General features: G+C 39.6%; 1 protein-coding gene and 1 pseudogene across 18 annotated transcripts in view; both read right to left on the bottom strand.

Annotated features, from left to right (window-relative positions):
• The window catches only part of SLC30A6 (solute carrier family 30 member 6), a 58516-nt gene that overhangs the window by 16375 nt on the left and 26667 nt on the right, over positions 1–15474 (bottom strand). For 12 of the 18 annotated variants that reach the window (XM_047444944.1, NM_001330479.2, XM_011532962.4 and 9 more), the window contains 6 exons: positions 15052–15087; positions 14022–14116; positions 10613–10661; positions 10179–10298; positions 3313–3415; positions 1072–1119 (listed from right to left, as the gene is read on the bottom strand). In XM_047444944.1, coding sequence (XP_047300900.1) covers positions 1072–1119; positions 3313–3415; positions 10179–10298; positions 10613–10661; positions 14022–14116; positions 15052–15087 — 451 coding nt within the window. Of the gene's footprint in view, positions 1–1071; positions 1120–3312; positions 3416–8389; positions 10040–10178; positions 10299–10612; positions 10688–14021; positions 14117–15051; positions 15088–15474 lie in introns of those variants that run through there. The other 6 variants (XM_017004464.3, XM_017004466.3, XM_017004465.3 and 3 more) reach the window with 4 other exon arrangements.
• Positions 3787–6475, bottom strand: DDX50P1 (DEAD-box helicase 50 pseudogene 1; annotated as a pseudogene).

The following is a 15474-nucleotide window of genomic DNA, read 5'->3' as shown; positions in this document are numbered from 1 at the left end:
AAAGTTAGGCCGGGCCTGGTGGCTCATGCCTGTAACCCCAGCACTTTGGGAGGTCGAGGTGGGTGGATCACGAGGTCAGGAGTTCAAGACCAGCCTGGTCGAGATGGTGAAACCCTGTCTCTACTAAAAATACAAAAATTAGCCAGGCATGTGGTGGGCGCCTATAATCCCAGCTGCTTGGGAGGCTGAGGCAGAAGAATCACTTGAACTCAGGAGGCGGAGGTTGCAGTGAGCCGAGATTGTGCCACTGCACTCCAGCCTGGGCGACAGAGCGAGACTCCATCTCAGAAAAAAAAAAAAAAAAAAAAAAAATACAGAAGTTAGTTGGGCGGGCCAGGCGCTGTGGACATGCCTGTAATCCCAGCACTTTGGGAGGCCGAGGCGGGTGGATCACAAGGTCAGGAGTTCAAGACCAGCCTGGCCAACACAGCGAAACCCTGTCTCCACTAAAAATACAAAAATTAGCTGGGTATGGTGGCTTGCATCTGTAGTCCCGGCTACTCAGGAGGCTGAGGCAGGAGAATCACTTGAACCTGGGAGACGGAGGTTGCAGTGAGCCAAGACGGCACCATTGCACTCCAGCCTGGGCGACAGAGCAAGACTCTGTCTCAAAAAAAAAAGAAAAAGTTAGCTGGGCATGGTGGCACGCGCCTGTAGTCTCACCTACTCAGGAGGCCGAGGAAGGAGAATTGCTTGAGCCTGGGAGGTGGAGGTTGCAGTGAGCTGAGATTGCGCCACTGCACTACAGCCTGGCAACAGAGCAAGACTGTCTCAAAAAAAAAATAACTAAATAACTAAATAAAATAAATAAAAATCATAGCATTTATAATAGGGTGGTCATTAGGCCATTACCTTCCACATTCACTTCAAGTGAATTTGATTTCCAAATTGAACAATTCCTCATATTTTTCCACGTTTGCCACTATATTATGGCTCCTAGTATGTTATTGTGAAGAACATGAACTTCCCTCAAATAAAATTCTAGGTAGAGTTGAATAAAGTATTAAAAGTATCCACCTTTTCAATTCCCTGATATAAAATAAAATGATTTTATTTACTATTCCATCTTACCTCTCTGATGAGTTTGTCCAACTGACCAATAACATGGGGTGGTGTTGTCTGGGGAAAAATACAATAAAATATGAATAATGGGGGAAGGAAAAAAGTTTGCCAACAATGGTCCTGAACCCCCTCCCCAAAAGGATTTTAAGCCAGCCTTTGCTTTGACAGCTGTCCTATCATGATTTAGAGAAGAGAGGTTTCAACTGGCCCCACTAGTGGAACAACATCATCAACTGGCCCACACCTGTTTTTTTATCTTGAAGATAAGATAAAAAGATAAATAACACTTAAACAACCAACCAACCAACAAAAAATCTTTGGGAAATGGTTACAAAGGTCGTATTTTGTATAGGGCATAGCACTATGCAACTATTATCTTATTTTTATTTTTTCTGGAGATGGAACTACTGCCCTAAGTCTTGGAAAAGGCATAGGGTAAGACAGAAGGAACCACAGTGCTTACACGCACATCCGGCCCTGGGAAACTGCCTTTTTTTTTTTTGGAATCTCGCTCTGTCGCCCAGGCTGGAATGCAGTGGCGCAATCTTGGCTCACTGCAAGCTCCGCCTCCCGGGTTCAAGCCACTCCCCTGCCTCAGCCTCCTGAGTAGCTGGGACTACAGGCACTCGCCACCATGCCCGGCTAATTTTTTGCATTTTTAGTAGAGATGGGGTTTCACCGTGTTAGCCAGGATGGTCTTGATCTCCTGACCTCGTCATCTAACCACCTCGGCCTCCCAAAGTGCTGGGATTACAGGCATGAGCCACCGCGCCCGGCCGGAAACTGCCTTTCTATTCATATTCAGGGTGTTCCTATCATTTCAGTAAGTAGCAATGTGTCATTTAAGATTTTAAGTTTGAAATTTTAAAGTCTCACTGATTCAGTGGCAGGAAATAATAAAATAGTCATAAGCAGATTACACAAAAGCCAAAGCACATTTACTGAGGGAAAATAAATATCTAAAAAAAATTTCAGGCCGGGTGCAGTGGCTCACGCCTGTAATCCCAGCACTTTAGGAGGTTCAAGGCGGGTGGCTCACCTGAGGTCAGGAATTTGAGACCATCCTGGTCAATGTAGTGAAACCCCAGCTCTACTAAAAATACAAAAATTAGCCAGGCGTGGTGGCACATGGCTGTAGTCCCAGCTACTCGGGATGCTGAGGTAGGAGAATCGCTTGAACCCAGGAAGCAAAGGTTGCAGTGACCTGAGTGTAGCGCCACTGCACTCCAGCCTGGTCAAGAGAGAGAGACTCTGTCTCAAAAAAAAAAAAAAAAAAAAAAGAAGTAACATTCTTTTCACTTGAAAAATAATAATAGCTTTAAATTTGTGATTTTGTCACAATATAAATATAGGAAGATTTGTGACTATTTTACTTGCTAATGGACTTTCATCAGGTTCTGACTATATGAATGTCAGAGATTATTGTTTGACTTCATTTCTAGCAGGGGCTTCCAGTAACTAAAAATTTCACAATCTGTACTGTTAAAGGGAGGGCATTAAAAAAAATGTTGTTTTGTTTTTTTGAGATGGAGTCTTGCTCTGTCACCCAGGCTGGATGCAGTGGTACAATGTCAGCTCACTGCAACCTCCGCCTCCCGGGTTCAGGCAATTCTCCTGCCTCAGTCTCCCGAGTAGCTGGGATTACAGGTGCACGCCACCACGCCCAGCTAATTTTTGTATTTTTTTAGTAGAGACAGGGTTTCACCATGTTGGCCAGGCTGGTCTCGAACTACTGACATTGTGATCTGCCCGCCTTGGCCTCCCAAAGTGCTGGGATTACAAGCGTGAGCCACCTCTCCTGGCCAAAAAACTTTTGTAATTAAAAATTATGACTGGGCACGATGGCTCTCGCGTATAGTCCCAACACTTTGGGAGGCCGCAGCAAGAGGATCATTTGAGCCCAGGAGTTTGAGATCAGCCTGGGCAACATAGTGAGAGCCCATCTCTACAAATATTTTTAAAAATTAGCTGGGTGTGGTGGTGTGTGCCTGTAGTTTGTTACTCAGGAGACTGAGGTGGGAGGGTCCTTTGAGCCTGGGAGGTCAAGGCGGCAGTGAGCCGAGATCCCACCACTGTACTCCAGTCTAGGTGACAGAGCAAGGACCTGTCTCTAAAAAAAAAAAAAAAAAAATTAAAATTAAAAAATAAAAATAAAAATTTCACAATCTTGTAGAACAACACATACAACTTTTTAATCTGGTAGAAGAACATGGCTAATATTAAGCACGTGCATTGGAAGAAGCACCTTACCTGGAGTAAGACTTTCCCACTGTACACACTCATGGGATACATAGTGCCAAATGTCATCAAGGCAATAGCTATAGCAGAGGCAGTGTCTACGGCAAAATAATTACTAAAAGGAAAAAACAATTCTAAATTTTAAATTTATATCTCACTGGGCATATTACAATTAAATCTCCTGAACATTAATTATCTAAAGCAACAGGACTGAGCAACAGGACACAATTTTATCACAATTGGCCACTACTTGCAAAGAAACATTTCAAAGAAAAATACTCCAGTTTTTAGAATTCTTTCCTTTCAAAGTTTAGTGGAAAAATAACTAATAATTATGTTAATTAGTAGGAAGAGGTATGATGAAAAAAAATGTGGACATTTCCCCGTCAGGCATTTTTTTGTCAAACTATCTGTCAACTAGAAAGAGCTGAAATATGTTTATTTGCTTGAGACAGACAAAAAACTTCAACTAGTAATTTTTTTTTAAAAAGAGACAATAAAAAGAGGTTTTTTAATTCAAAGGTATAACTGGTAAGTAGATCTGTTTACAATCATTCTTGTGAAATACTTTTTAAAAAAATATGACCAATTTATTTGCAAATAGCAGACACATACCTCAACTATGATGACCTAATTTTTGGTGCATAATATACATGATTAGGCAGAAATAGGCAACCTCATACTGGTAGATTAACTATCAAATAGTCAAAACTCCGTTTGTGGCTCCCACTTCTTGATCGATTTCTATTCCCTCTTCATCTTCTACCATCTTGTCAACTTCCTGAGCGACTCCCTTGTGGACTCTGTCTAACTGACCGGCTGCCAGATCGACCACCTGATCGGCCCGACTGGCCACTTGACCAACCACTCCTCTGTCTGGAATTAGAAGATGTGTTTCTATCATAATATTCTTCAATTTCAGGTAATTTGGCTGGCACTGAGAATATCCAGTCGGAATCATGCCACTCTGCCTGTAACCTTTCTGACTTAGTTGTAGGAACATCAAAGCAAACACGCACATTTCCTTTCAGGAGGCACATTCTGGTAATCTGAGACACTGCATTACTACTCAGCTTTCTGTTAAGTTCTTTCCAAGCACAGCTGACATCCTGTATTTCCTCTAGGCTTTCCAGAGTCATGGTCACAAATCCCTATCAGAGGTGATCAAAGATCGTGGTTCAAAGCCTGATGCACCAGAAATGTGGGCTAAAGCTGCAGCCAATGCATCCACTGCCCCTTTCTCTTCTGTCAGTATCTGAGCTGATGGTTGGAAAAAATCAACAGCAGCATAAGAAACAGAAGCCAGAGACCTTATGGCATCCGTGCTTTTAGATTTAACTAAATCCATTGTAGAAGGAATACCTACACATTTAAAAGTAATTCCTACTTTTTGTTCCACATATCTTAGTTGACCTCTTTCTCTTGGTTGATAAAAACATATACAAATCCCTGTCTGTCCAGCTCTACCTGTGCGTCCAGAACGATGGATATAGACTCAACATCCTGAGGAGGAGAACCATGAATCACCAGGTCAACTTCAGGAATGTCCAAACCACAGGCAGCCACGTTGGTTGCCACCAAAACTTTAAAACTACCTTCTCTGAAGTCTTTTAGTGTAAATTCTCTTTGTGACTGTGCAATGTCCCCATGTAAACACTGGGCATTCTGTTTTATGTGTGGATTCATGGCTATTTCAGTTACACTCCTCTGGGTCTCACAGAAAATAATAGCCGTCCCTTCAGACCCACTGTAGACTTGAAGGACATCTCCAGTAACTGCTGGCCTCTGAGACCAATGACACCGGATGGCCAAATGTTCCACAGAAGCTGCAGCCTTTTGAGTCATTTTTCCAAAAACATCAATCTGTTCGTATCTGGATTTCACTCATTTTTTTGCAACTTTGCATACCCACTGTGGGCGAGCTGCAGAAAAAAGTAAAGTCTGAGGACTGTCTTCAGAATCAGTTTTGTAGAATTCATGAATAATATCTTCAACTTGTTCAGCAAAACCTAACTCTAACATTTGATCCACTTCATCAAGCACAACATGGCACAGTTTAGAAAGATCCAATCAGAGCTGGGCACAGTGGTTCACGCCTGCAATCCCAGCACTTTGGGAGGCCGAGATGGGCAGATCACAAGGTCAGGAGATTGAGACCATCCTGGCTAACACGGTGAAATCCCGTCTCTACTAAAAATACAAAAAAAAATAGTCGGGGGTGGTGGCGGGTGCCTGTAGTCCCAGCTACTTGGGAGGCTGAGGCAGGAAAATGGTGTGAACCCGGGCGGCGGAGCTTGCAGTGAGCCGAGATCCAGCCTGGGCGACAGAGCGAGATTCTGTCTCAAAAAACAAACAAACAAACAAACAAACAAAAAACTGTTTCTTGATCTCTTTGGAGTCTTTCAATCAAAGGGATCGCAAAATAGAATGTCTTTCTTTCCTGTTCCCGTCTGTGCTTGAGCTATTAAATCTTTTCCTTCATATACAGGACCAAAGGTCTTAACTTGAACAGGAAAGAGAGATGTTACCCCTCAACCTTTCAGAAGCTTTATAGTCTCTTCAGAAATAGGAAGATTGGAGAAGGTTCCTTCTTTCTGTTCATGTGTTAAGGTCTCCTCTAGCTTCTTATCACTTGATTCATGAGTAGAACTATCTAAGGATGATACTTGCTTTTTTTTTTTCATATTCATCAATATCTCATTCAGTAGATCTTTTCTTCTTGACTTATGAGATTTAGAGAATTCATCTGAAAGTCTATTAAATCCTTCTTCAGTGTCTCCATTTAGCTTCTCTTTCATTTTAATTTTTTTGGTCTTGGGAGCATCCAGGTAATCTGTAACACCATTTTCTCTTGTTTCTGATTTCTCATCTGAGTCATAATGGTGGCTTGACTTCCTTCTGTCACTCCAGCACTGTGTAATGTATTTTCAGCTTATCTTGTTTAAATCTTCATAAAAACCATATAAGGGAAGTACAGGTCCATAATCCATTAGCCGAAACTGTGATATCCATAAAGCTCTTCTGCCTCTCCTTCTTCTGGCTCTCGGACTCCTCCAAGGGTGCTTCCAGTTCCATAATGTACCCCCAGAGGAGTTTCCCAGGCATTACTGGCCACTGCTGCCTCCCTCCGGGCACAGTGGCCACAACCACCTACATGCAGCAAAAACGTGAAAGGAAACAGGGGCAGGGCAGCCACTCAGCCGTGGCTGTGTGTCATTCAACTAGTAATTTTTGATACAGAAAGACTAATGGAATCTATCAGTAATTATATCAAGTTTCCAGTGAGCGATAATTATTTCTAATAAGACTTCAAATTCCCCAGGAATTTCACCAGGTAAGATTCTCCAGGAATTTTTTATGGTAACACTGTAGTCAACATCAACAATTCAAACTGGCTGAAGTTCTACCAACAATACAGACCAAAATGCCAATAATTACAAGCTGATTGTGCACTCTTTTCTACTTTTCCCCACATGCTAGAAATAGAAATGTGAATGAGACACAATCCTTGCCCTAGAAATAACAGGAGATACACATGTGAAAAACATAATGAAGCACTTTGGGCACTAAGGCAGAAATGTCTACAGAGTACCATGGCCGCACAAAAGATTGAGTGACAAGGCTCCTGGGGTGGAGATAATCCAGAAGGTGACATTTGGGCAGAGACTTCAAAGATAGGCAAGTGAAAGCAGCATGTGCAGGGGCATGAAAACCCTGACCCAGCAATAAAACCACAAATGGTCAGGAATAGATAGATGGATGGTTAGTAAGGTTGGTAGGGGCCTGATTACTCAGGACTCTGTGCTGACAACTTCAATTTTTGCAACTATGCAAAGGGGAGGGTTTTATTATTATTATTATTATTTTTTTCTTTATTGATCATTCTTGGGTGTTTCTCGCAGAGGGGGACTTGGCAGGGTCACAGGACAACAGTGGAGGGAAGGTCAACAGACAAACAAGTGAACAAAGGTCTCTGGTTTTCCTAGGCAGAGTGTTTGTGTCCCTGGGTACTTGAGATTAGGGAGTGGTGATGACTCTTAACGAGCATGCTGCCTTCAAGCATCTGTTTAACAAAGCACATCTTGCACCGCCCTTAATCCATTTAACCCTGAGTGGACACAGCACATGTTTCAGAGAGCACAGGGTTGGGGGTAAGGTCATAGATCAACAGGATCCCAAGGCAGAAGAATTTTTCTTAGTACAGAACAAAATGAAAAGTCTCCCATGTCTACTTCTTTCTACACAGACACAGCAACCATCCGATTTCTCAATCTTTTCCCCACCTTTCCCCCTTTTCTATTCCACAAAACCGCCATTGTCATCGTGGCCCGTTCTCAATGAGCTGTTGGGTACACCTCAAGGGGAGGGTTTTGAAACAGGAATATATTATCTCCAAACTAGCAATTTTGAATGATCACATTAGTGACAAAATAAAAGGTAACTAGCAATGGATAAGAATGAAAACTAGAAGACCAGAGGCTATTCTAATTAGGCCAAAGAAATGATGATAAAGGTCTTAATAGGGACAGCAGCAATGAGAATGGGAAAGAGGGGACAAATAAACATATATATATGTTTATATATATATATCAACACATATTTTATATTTGTGTGTGTGTGTGTGTGTATATATGTCTCATATATATATAACCTCCTCCACTTCCTGGGTTCAAGCGATTCTCCTGCTTCAGCCTCCCAGGTGGTTGGGATTACAGGTGTGCATCACCACGCCCAGCTAATTTTTGTATTTTTAGCAGAGACGGGGTTTTGCCATGTTGGCCAGGCTGGTCTTGAACTCCTGACCTCAGGCGACCCAGCCGCCTCGGCTTCCCAAAGTGCTGGGACTACAGGTGTAAGCCACCGCACCCAGCCAAATAAATAAATATTAATAAACAATTACACAAGGCTTGGAGACGAATTAGAAATGGCTTGGGGAGTGGTGAGAGAGGAGGAGGGAGGAAAAGTGGGTATTAATGATGCACTGGAGTTCCTCAAAAAACTAAAATATTGGGGGGATGTGGGGGATGGTTAATGGATATAAAAATATAGTTAGAATAAATAAAATCTACTATTTGATAGCAAAACAGGGTTACTACAGTCAACAATAATTTATTGTACATTTTAAAATAAACAAGAGCATAATTAGAACACAAAGAAAAAATACATCCTTGAGGTGATGGATACCCCATTTACCCTGATGTGATTATTATGCACTGTATGCCTGTATCAAAATATCTCATGTACCCCATAAATATATATACCTACTATGTGCCTACAAAAATAAAAAATTAAATAAATTAGATAAATACAGAATTATCATATCACATGACCCAGTAATTTCACTTCTGGGTATATACCCACACGAACTGAAAGGAAGGACTCAGATATTTGTACACTCGTGTTCACAGTGGTATTATTCACAATAGTCAAAGAAATGCAACCAATTCAAATATCCACTGATGGATAAATGGGTAAACAAAATGCATTGTTTACCCATTATGCATTGGAAAATGTGATTCAGCATTCCAATTAAAAAGGAAGGAAATTCTGACATGTTACAACATAGATGAACCTTGAGGACATTATGCTAAGTGAAATAAGCAGACACAAAAGAACAAATATTATATGATTTCATTTCTGTGAAGTACTTAGAGAAGTCAAATTCCTAGAGACAGAAACTAGAATGGTGGTTTCCAGGGGCTGTGAGGAGGAGGAAAAGGAAAGCTGCTTAATGAGCATGGAATTTAAGGAAGGCAGGAGGAAAAAGGTTCTGGAGATGGATGGTGGTAATGGCTGCATGCAATGTCACCAAATTGTACACTCAATGTAAATAAAAAACTCTATGTTGGGATTACAGTCATGAGCCACCGAGGCAGGTGGATCACCTAAGGTCAGGAGTTCAAGACCAGCCTGGCCAACATGGCAAAACCTCATCTCTATTAAAAATACAAAAATTAGCCAGGTGTGGTGGCAGGTGCCTCTAATCCCAGCTACTCAGGAGGCTGAGGCAGGAGAATTGCTTGAACTCGGGAGGTGGAGGTTGCAGTGAGCTGAGATCATGCCATTGCACTCCAGCCTGGGCACCAAGAGCGAAACTCCATCTCAGAAAAAAGCCAACTCTATATTATGTATATTTTAATGCAATTTAAAATAAGAATGCATTGGCATAAATGACAGTATTTTTCTTGTATCTCCCATTCACTGAGATGGGAGATAGAAGAAAAAACAGTTTCAGAGTTAAGGGAAAATAGGTTCAGTTAAAGTAGACACCTATAGAAGTCAGGAAGATACGCCTTTTGGAATTCAATAGAGATGTGGGCTAGAAATAAAAATCTAGGAATCCCACAGAAGTAGCAAACAAAAACAAATACTTGCATGTGATTTTTAAGGAAAATACATAAAACAGCAAGAACAATAAGGACAAATTCTAGTAAAGACTAATATTTAAAAGGTGGGTAGCCAAAGAATCATATGCCATAACATGTTAAGCTTAAAGCAGCTGTAAAGCCTATTTCCTAAAAGGCTTTATTTTTAAAAAATTGTTTCACGCCTACGTCCTCTTCTCCTCCCTCTCTCGGCAATAGCAGTGGTGGCTCAGATCTCTTTCTTACTGTTCTCTTTTCTGTTTCACTCATCAGGTCAGCAGTAGGGAATTTAAATTGTTTTCCAGTCTGCATTATACATTGTGGTAAGAAATACTTATTGAACCCAATCCCCTTAATTTTTCAGATGAAGACACCTAAGGAAAAGATGTGATCTAAGTTACACAGGACATAAGCGAAACTGCTAGAAGCTTGACCACTATCCATCCTGCTGATGCCCTTAAAAGTAAGTCCCCAGAAATCAAAACATACTTGACAACAATAAAAAATACTCACTTAATTTCAATGAGCATATATGTAATACAAAGAGCAAATGCTCCAGCAAGATCAATCAAAACAAATGGATTCATTCGGGGAAGGAAGATACTGCTAAGTCCCGGAATAATTCCACACAAGCTAAGAAAAAACAAACAGAAAGAGTATCCATTAGCAGAACTCACATAAAACTGGTGACAACCTTGTAAAAGATAACTTGTATTTTGGTACCACATAGTGTACTTCTTAAAGAAAGCAAAGAGGATTTGTGAACAAAGCCCTTTCATTTATAAAGTTCTCTTTTGTATCAATTAAAAAGTAAAGGGAGAATAACAATCTGACCTGTGTGATTCACGTAGTAACCTCAGCAACGAATAATTTAAGTTCCCATGATAGATGCATTTCTTGTGTATTCCTTTAAATTATGCATATCATGAAACTCCATAACATCTTACCTTCGACTAAGATCTGCAACATGCTCTTGAAGCCAGCTCGTACTAGCAGCTTTAAGAAGAAAATACTTAAATTATCTATATAGAAGAAAAAAAAACCACTACCTGAAATATTTGAGTTCTTTAATTTTAAAAAATAAATTTGGCAGTGACTGAATAACATTACAAAAGAACATGCTACTCCTCAAATCTATAAATGTTTCCTCTTTTATGCCCTTATGCCACTAATTCAAAAGCAGTTTCAACTATTATACAATATACAGTTGACCTGAAGGAATTTATGTCATTGTTACTATTAATTTAAGGTTTTAAAGGTTCTTTACACTTTTTCTTTTGAGATGGAGTTTTGCTCTTTCTGCCCAGGCTGGAGTGCAGTGGTGCCATCTCGGCTCACTGCAACCTCTGTCTCCCGCGTTCAAGCAATTCTCCTGCCTCAGCCTCCCATGTGGCTGGGATTACAGGCACGTGCCACCACACCTGGCTAATTTTTTATTTTTAGTAGAGACGGGGTTTCACCATGTTGGTCAGGCTGGTCTTGAACTCCTGACCTCAGGTGATCCACCTGCCTCGGCCTCCCAAAGTGCTGGGATTACAGGTGTGAGCCACCATGCCCAGCAGTTCTTTATACTTTTAAGCAGAGCTTCCTAACTAGTGTGCTGAGAACGGGCCATAGGTACAGGCTGAGGATCCCAAATCTGAAAACCAAAAATCCACAACTTTGAGCACCAACATGATACTCAAAGGAAATGCTCATAGGAGCGTTTCGAATTTTAAATTTTCAGGTTTGGGATGCTCAACCCATACATATAATGCAAACACTCCGAAATCTAAGACAATCTAAAATGTGAAACACTTCTGGCCCCAAGCATTTCAGATAAGGGATATTCAAACTACATACAAATTAATTCCCTCAACTCTCAAAAAAGCCAGGTGAGAACCTGGGTACCTACCTGGCTAGAATTAAATAGGTTATTCTATGTAAAGTATTTAGCAGTGCTTGGCATATAGAAAGTACTTAATATTATTTCCCACTCAAATTTCAAGTAATTTCACAAATCTTTTTTCTTTTTTTTTTGTTTTGAGATGGAGTTTCACTTTTGTCACCCAGGCAGGAGTGCAATGACGTGATCTCGGCTCACTGCAACCTCCGCCTACCGGGTTCAAGGGATTCTCCTGCCTCAGCCTCCCAAGTAGCTGGGATCACAGGCGCCTGCCACCATGCCCGGCTAATTTTTATAATTTTTTAGTAGAGACAGGGTTTTGCCATGTTGGCCAGGCCGGTCTCAAACTGCTGACCTTGTGATCCGCCTGACTTGGTCTCCCAAACTGCTGGGATTACAGGTGTGAGCCACCAGACCCAGCCTTCATTTTTTTTTAAAGCCAGAGTCTTGCTATGTTTCCCAGGCTGAACTCAAACTCCTGAACTCAAGCAATACAACCACCTCAGCCTCCTGAGTAGCTGGGACTAGAGGCACATGCTACCAAGCCCAGCTAATGTCACAAATCTTGATGTTTCTGGGAACCTCCATTTCCAGCTAATGAAAATATAAAGTAGGCTGGGAGCAGTGGCTCACGCCTGTCGTCCCAGCACTTTGGGAGGCTGATGTGAGAGGACTGCTTGAGCCCAGGAGTTTGAGACCAGCCTGGGTAACACAGGTAGACTTTGTCTCTATTAAAAAATAAATAAATAAATAAATATAATATAATATAATAAAAATATAAACTAGATAACTTTTCTGGAAATAAATTTGGCAATATACAACAAAGCCTTTGAAAAATACTGTATTTTTAATCCAGTAAATAATTCCTTCTCGGGGAATTTATCCTACAGAAAGAATAAAAAATGCAGACGAAGTTGATCTAAAGAGGCTGATTATAGAGTTATTTATAAAAGGAAAAGTTAGAAATGTATAAAATATTTTAAAATATTCATAACAATATTATGCAAACATTAAAAAATCATTTACATTCAAAGAGTATTTAATGAGAAGCAATACTGAAGACATAATGCTAATCAAAAAGCCAGACATGGCCGGACGCAGTGGCTCACACCTGTAATCCCGGCACTTTGGGAGGCCAAGGTGGACAGATCACCTGAGGTCAGGAGTGAGACCAGCCTGGCCAACATGGGGAAACCCCGTCTCTGCTAAAAATACAAAAATCAGCCAGGCATGGTGGCACATTCCTGTAACCCCTTGAACCAAGGAGGCAGAGGTTGCAGTGAGCCAAGATTGCGCCACTGCACTCCAGCCTGGGCAAGAGAGTGAGACTCCGTTTCAAAAAAAAAAAAAAAAAAGCCAGGCATAAAACTGTAATATATACAATTCTAAGTAAGCACATAAAATTATATGTACGTGTGCATACAAAAAAGTGGAAGGAATAACATAGAAATGTTAACATATTATCTGTGGGTCATAAGATTATCAGTAGTCTTATTTCCTTCTTGTATCTCCCTGATCTTTACAGGGAAACAGTGTTTCTAAATCTTTGCACCATCTTAAAAATTTCTAGAGTAAGTGTTATAGTATTTTATAAATTATGAATTTTTTTCAAGAAATTCTAGTGATCTTAATTATCATTATTTAATTTTCTAATTCATGCAGTACTTCTTTAACTCATACAAACACAATTTATCTTCATAACATTCATGAAGTTGTTTAAACTTGAATGGGCATTTCAGAAAACTTTCTTCTCTTGACTATCCTAGAGTGAGATCTAAAAAGATCCACACCTATCTGTGCTTCTCTATACTTCAAAGTGTGGGTCTGTGCACACATCCCACTTCTATTTTCACCTCACTTCTCCATCTCTTAGTGGCTAACTCTTTTGTGGGTTAGTGGGATTCCAAAACACTGAAATTATTGAAAAAAGAAAATAATTTAGACTGCAAAAGTGAAAAATCAGTCTGAAGTTGTAAATACTTCAAAATAAAAGAATATTTCCAAAGAAATAAAGTTTGGCTACTTGCAAACATATATGCCCATCCACCATTGCCAAAGAGAAGTTCCTGGGAACTTACTTTATTAACAGAATACAATTATTTTCAATTAGCATATCAACTAAGAATTCTAAGTATACTGATACTTCTAAAATGCTTACAATAGACTTTTCTTAGATAGATTACACATTTAGAATCTCACATTATTTGGTAAATGTAATTTTTCATCACCACATGATTTAATTTACAGGTCACTCCTGCCTGTTTTAAAATAATTTGTTATTTTAAAGCTTGAACTAATGAGATTTTGTTTTATAATTTTCCACTTAAAAAAGACTTGAGAACATTTGGGCTAGTTCTCTCTTGTCTTCAGAATATACTTCTTCATTGATCTGAGTGAACGAAACAAACAAAAGGCTTGTTTTTATGAGAGATTAGTTGGATTTTTAAATTAATAGTAAATAAAAAACATACCTTCTGAGACATAAGCAAAAGGTTTATTCCGAATAGAAAGCATCGTGAACAGGTTGAAACAAAGAGCCACAAAAGTACCAACTAATAATCTTCCCCTAAAAAGAACAACGATAACATTCACCTTTAATTTGTTCTTGGTATTATCAGTATGTAATTTCAATACGTAGAGGGACTAAGAGGTGGGAAGGTAAAGTGGTCTGCTTTAATGATTTGGTGTTTCCAGATACAGAATCTGAACTTAGTTACTAGCCCCATCACCCATGTCCCATCTACTGTTGCTCCATCTTACAAAGGATAAGTAAGGACTTTTAGCATTAACAGTATCTTGCTACAGGTAAACGCTGTTATAAATCTGTATAAATATCAATGGTATTTGTTTTACGATATACTGGACAAGTCAGACTTTGTGGAATTAAACTGATCAGAATAGATAAGGTCCATATAGTTGGCAGCTCTGTGGTTGAGAAATACAATTGTTTTTTCATATATATGATACATACAATTCTCTTTTCATATATATATGAAAATCACATAGTTGCAATATATATGAAACATATATACGTTTCTTTTTTTTGGAGACAGGGTCTCACTCTGTTGTCCAGGTTGGTCTTGAACTCCTGAACTCAAGCGATCCTCCTGCCTTAGCCTCCCAAAGTGCTGGGATTACACTGAATCCCTGAGCCTCGTCCAATTCTCTTTTCTACAGGTGCTATGCAAAGATTTTGAAGGTCAAATTTGAAATTACAGAAGACTAGGGGAAGCTGGGTTAGTGTTTCCTAGGCCTGGAAATAATGAGAAGCCTGAAGCCAAGATAGAAAGGCCTTCCTGTGTAGTATAAAAATATTTAGAACTTGGGAACTGTTAAGAGTAAAGAAACGGAGTCTTAGTATTAGGGAATTTTGTTTGTGAAATACCAGCAAAAACGTTATGTTGCCACAGTCTGAAATCTGACATTGGCCAACTGTTTAATAATACATCAATTAATAATTAAGAATCAATAGTAAATTATATATTGAAAATAAAATCTCACGTGTGTATCTCGGGCTGTTCCAAAAAGCGTTCTGCACTATAAGAAATAAAAATATATTAAATAAGTCCTATAAATTATAAAGTTAAAAAGCTTTATTAAATATATCATTCACCCACCTTAAAGTTCACAAAATCTTTTAATATTATAACTATTAACTATTAGCAGTGATGAGGCAAGGAGACTCATAAATTATCCTTTTTAGTTGTTTTCTTTTTTCACAAATTATCCTTAATATGTAATGTCTATCTTTCTCTGCCAAGCCTATTTCAATGGGTTTGTAATAAGCATCAAACATGCCTGACTGAATCTCTGTTTCATTCACAACCACTTCTGATTCAATTTAGTAGCATTAAGGAAGGAAGTAAAAAAAATGAAACAGAAGAAAAAGTCTGAAACATAAAGAAAGTGTACTATCAAAACTCC

Source organism: Homo sapiens, chromosome 2 (genome assembly GCF_000001405.40).
Source record: "Homo sapiens chromosome 2, GRCh38.p14 Primary Assembly".
NCBI classification, from domain to species: Eukaryota; Metazoa; Chordata; class Mammalia; order Primates; family Hominidae; genus Homo; species Homo sapiens.
Note: the sequence above shows the minus strand (reverse complement) of the source record. Positions and strands in the feature narration are given on the sequence as shown.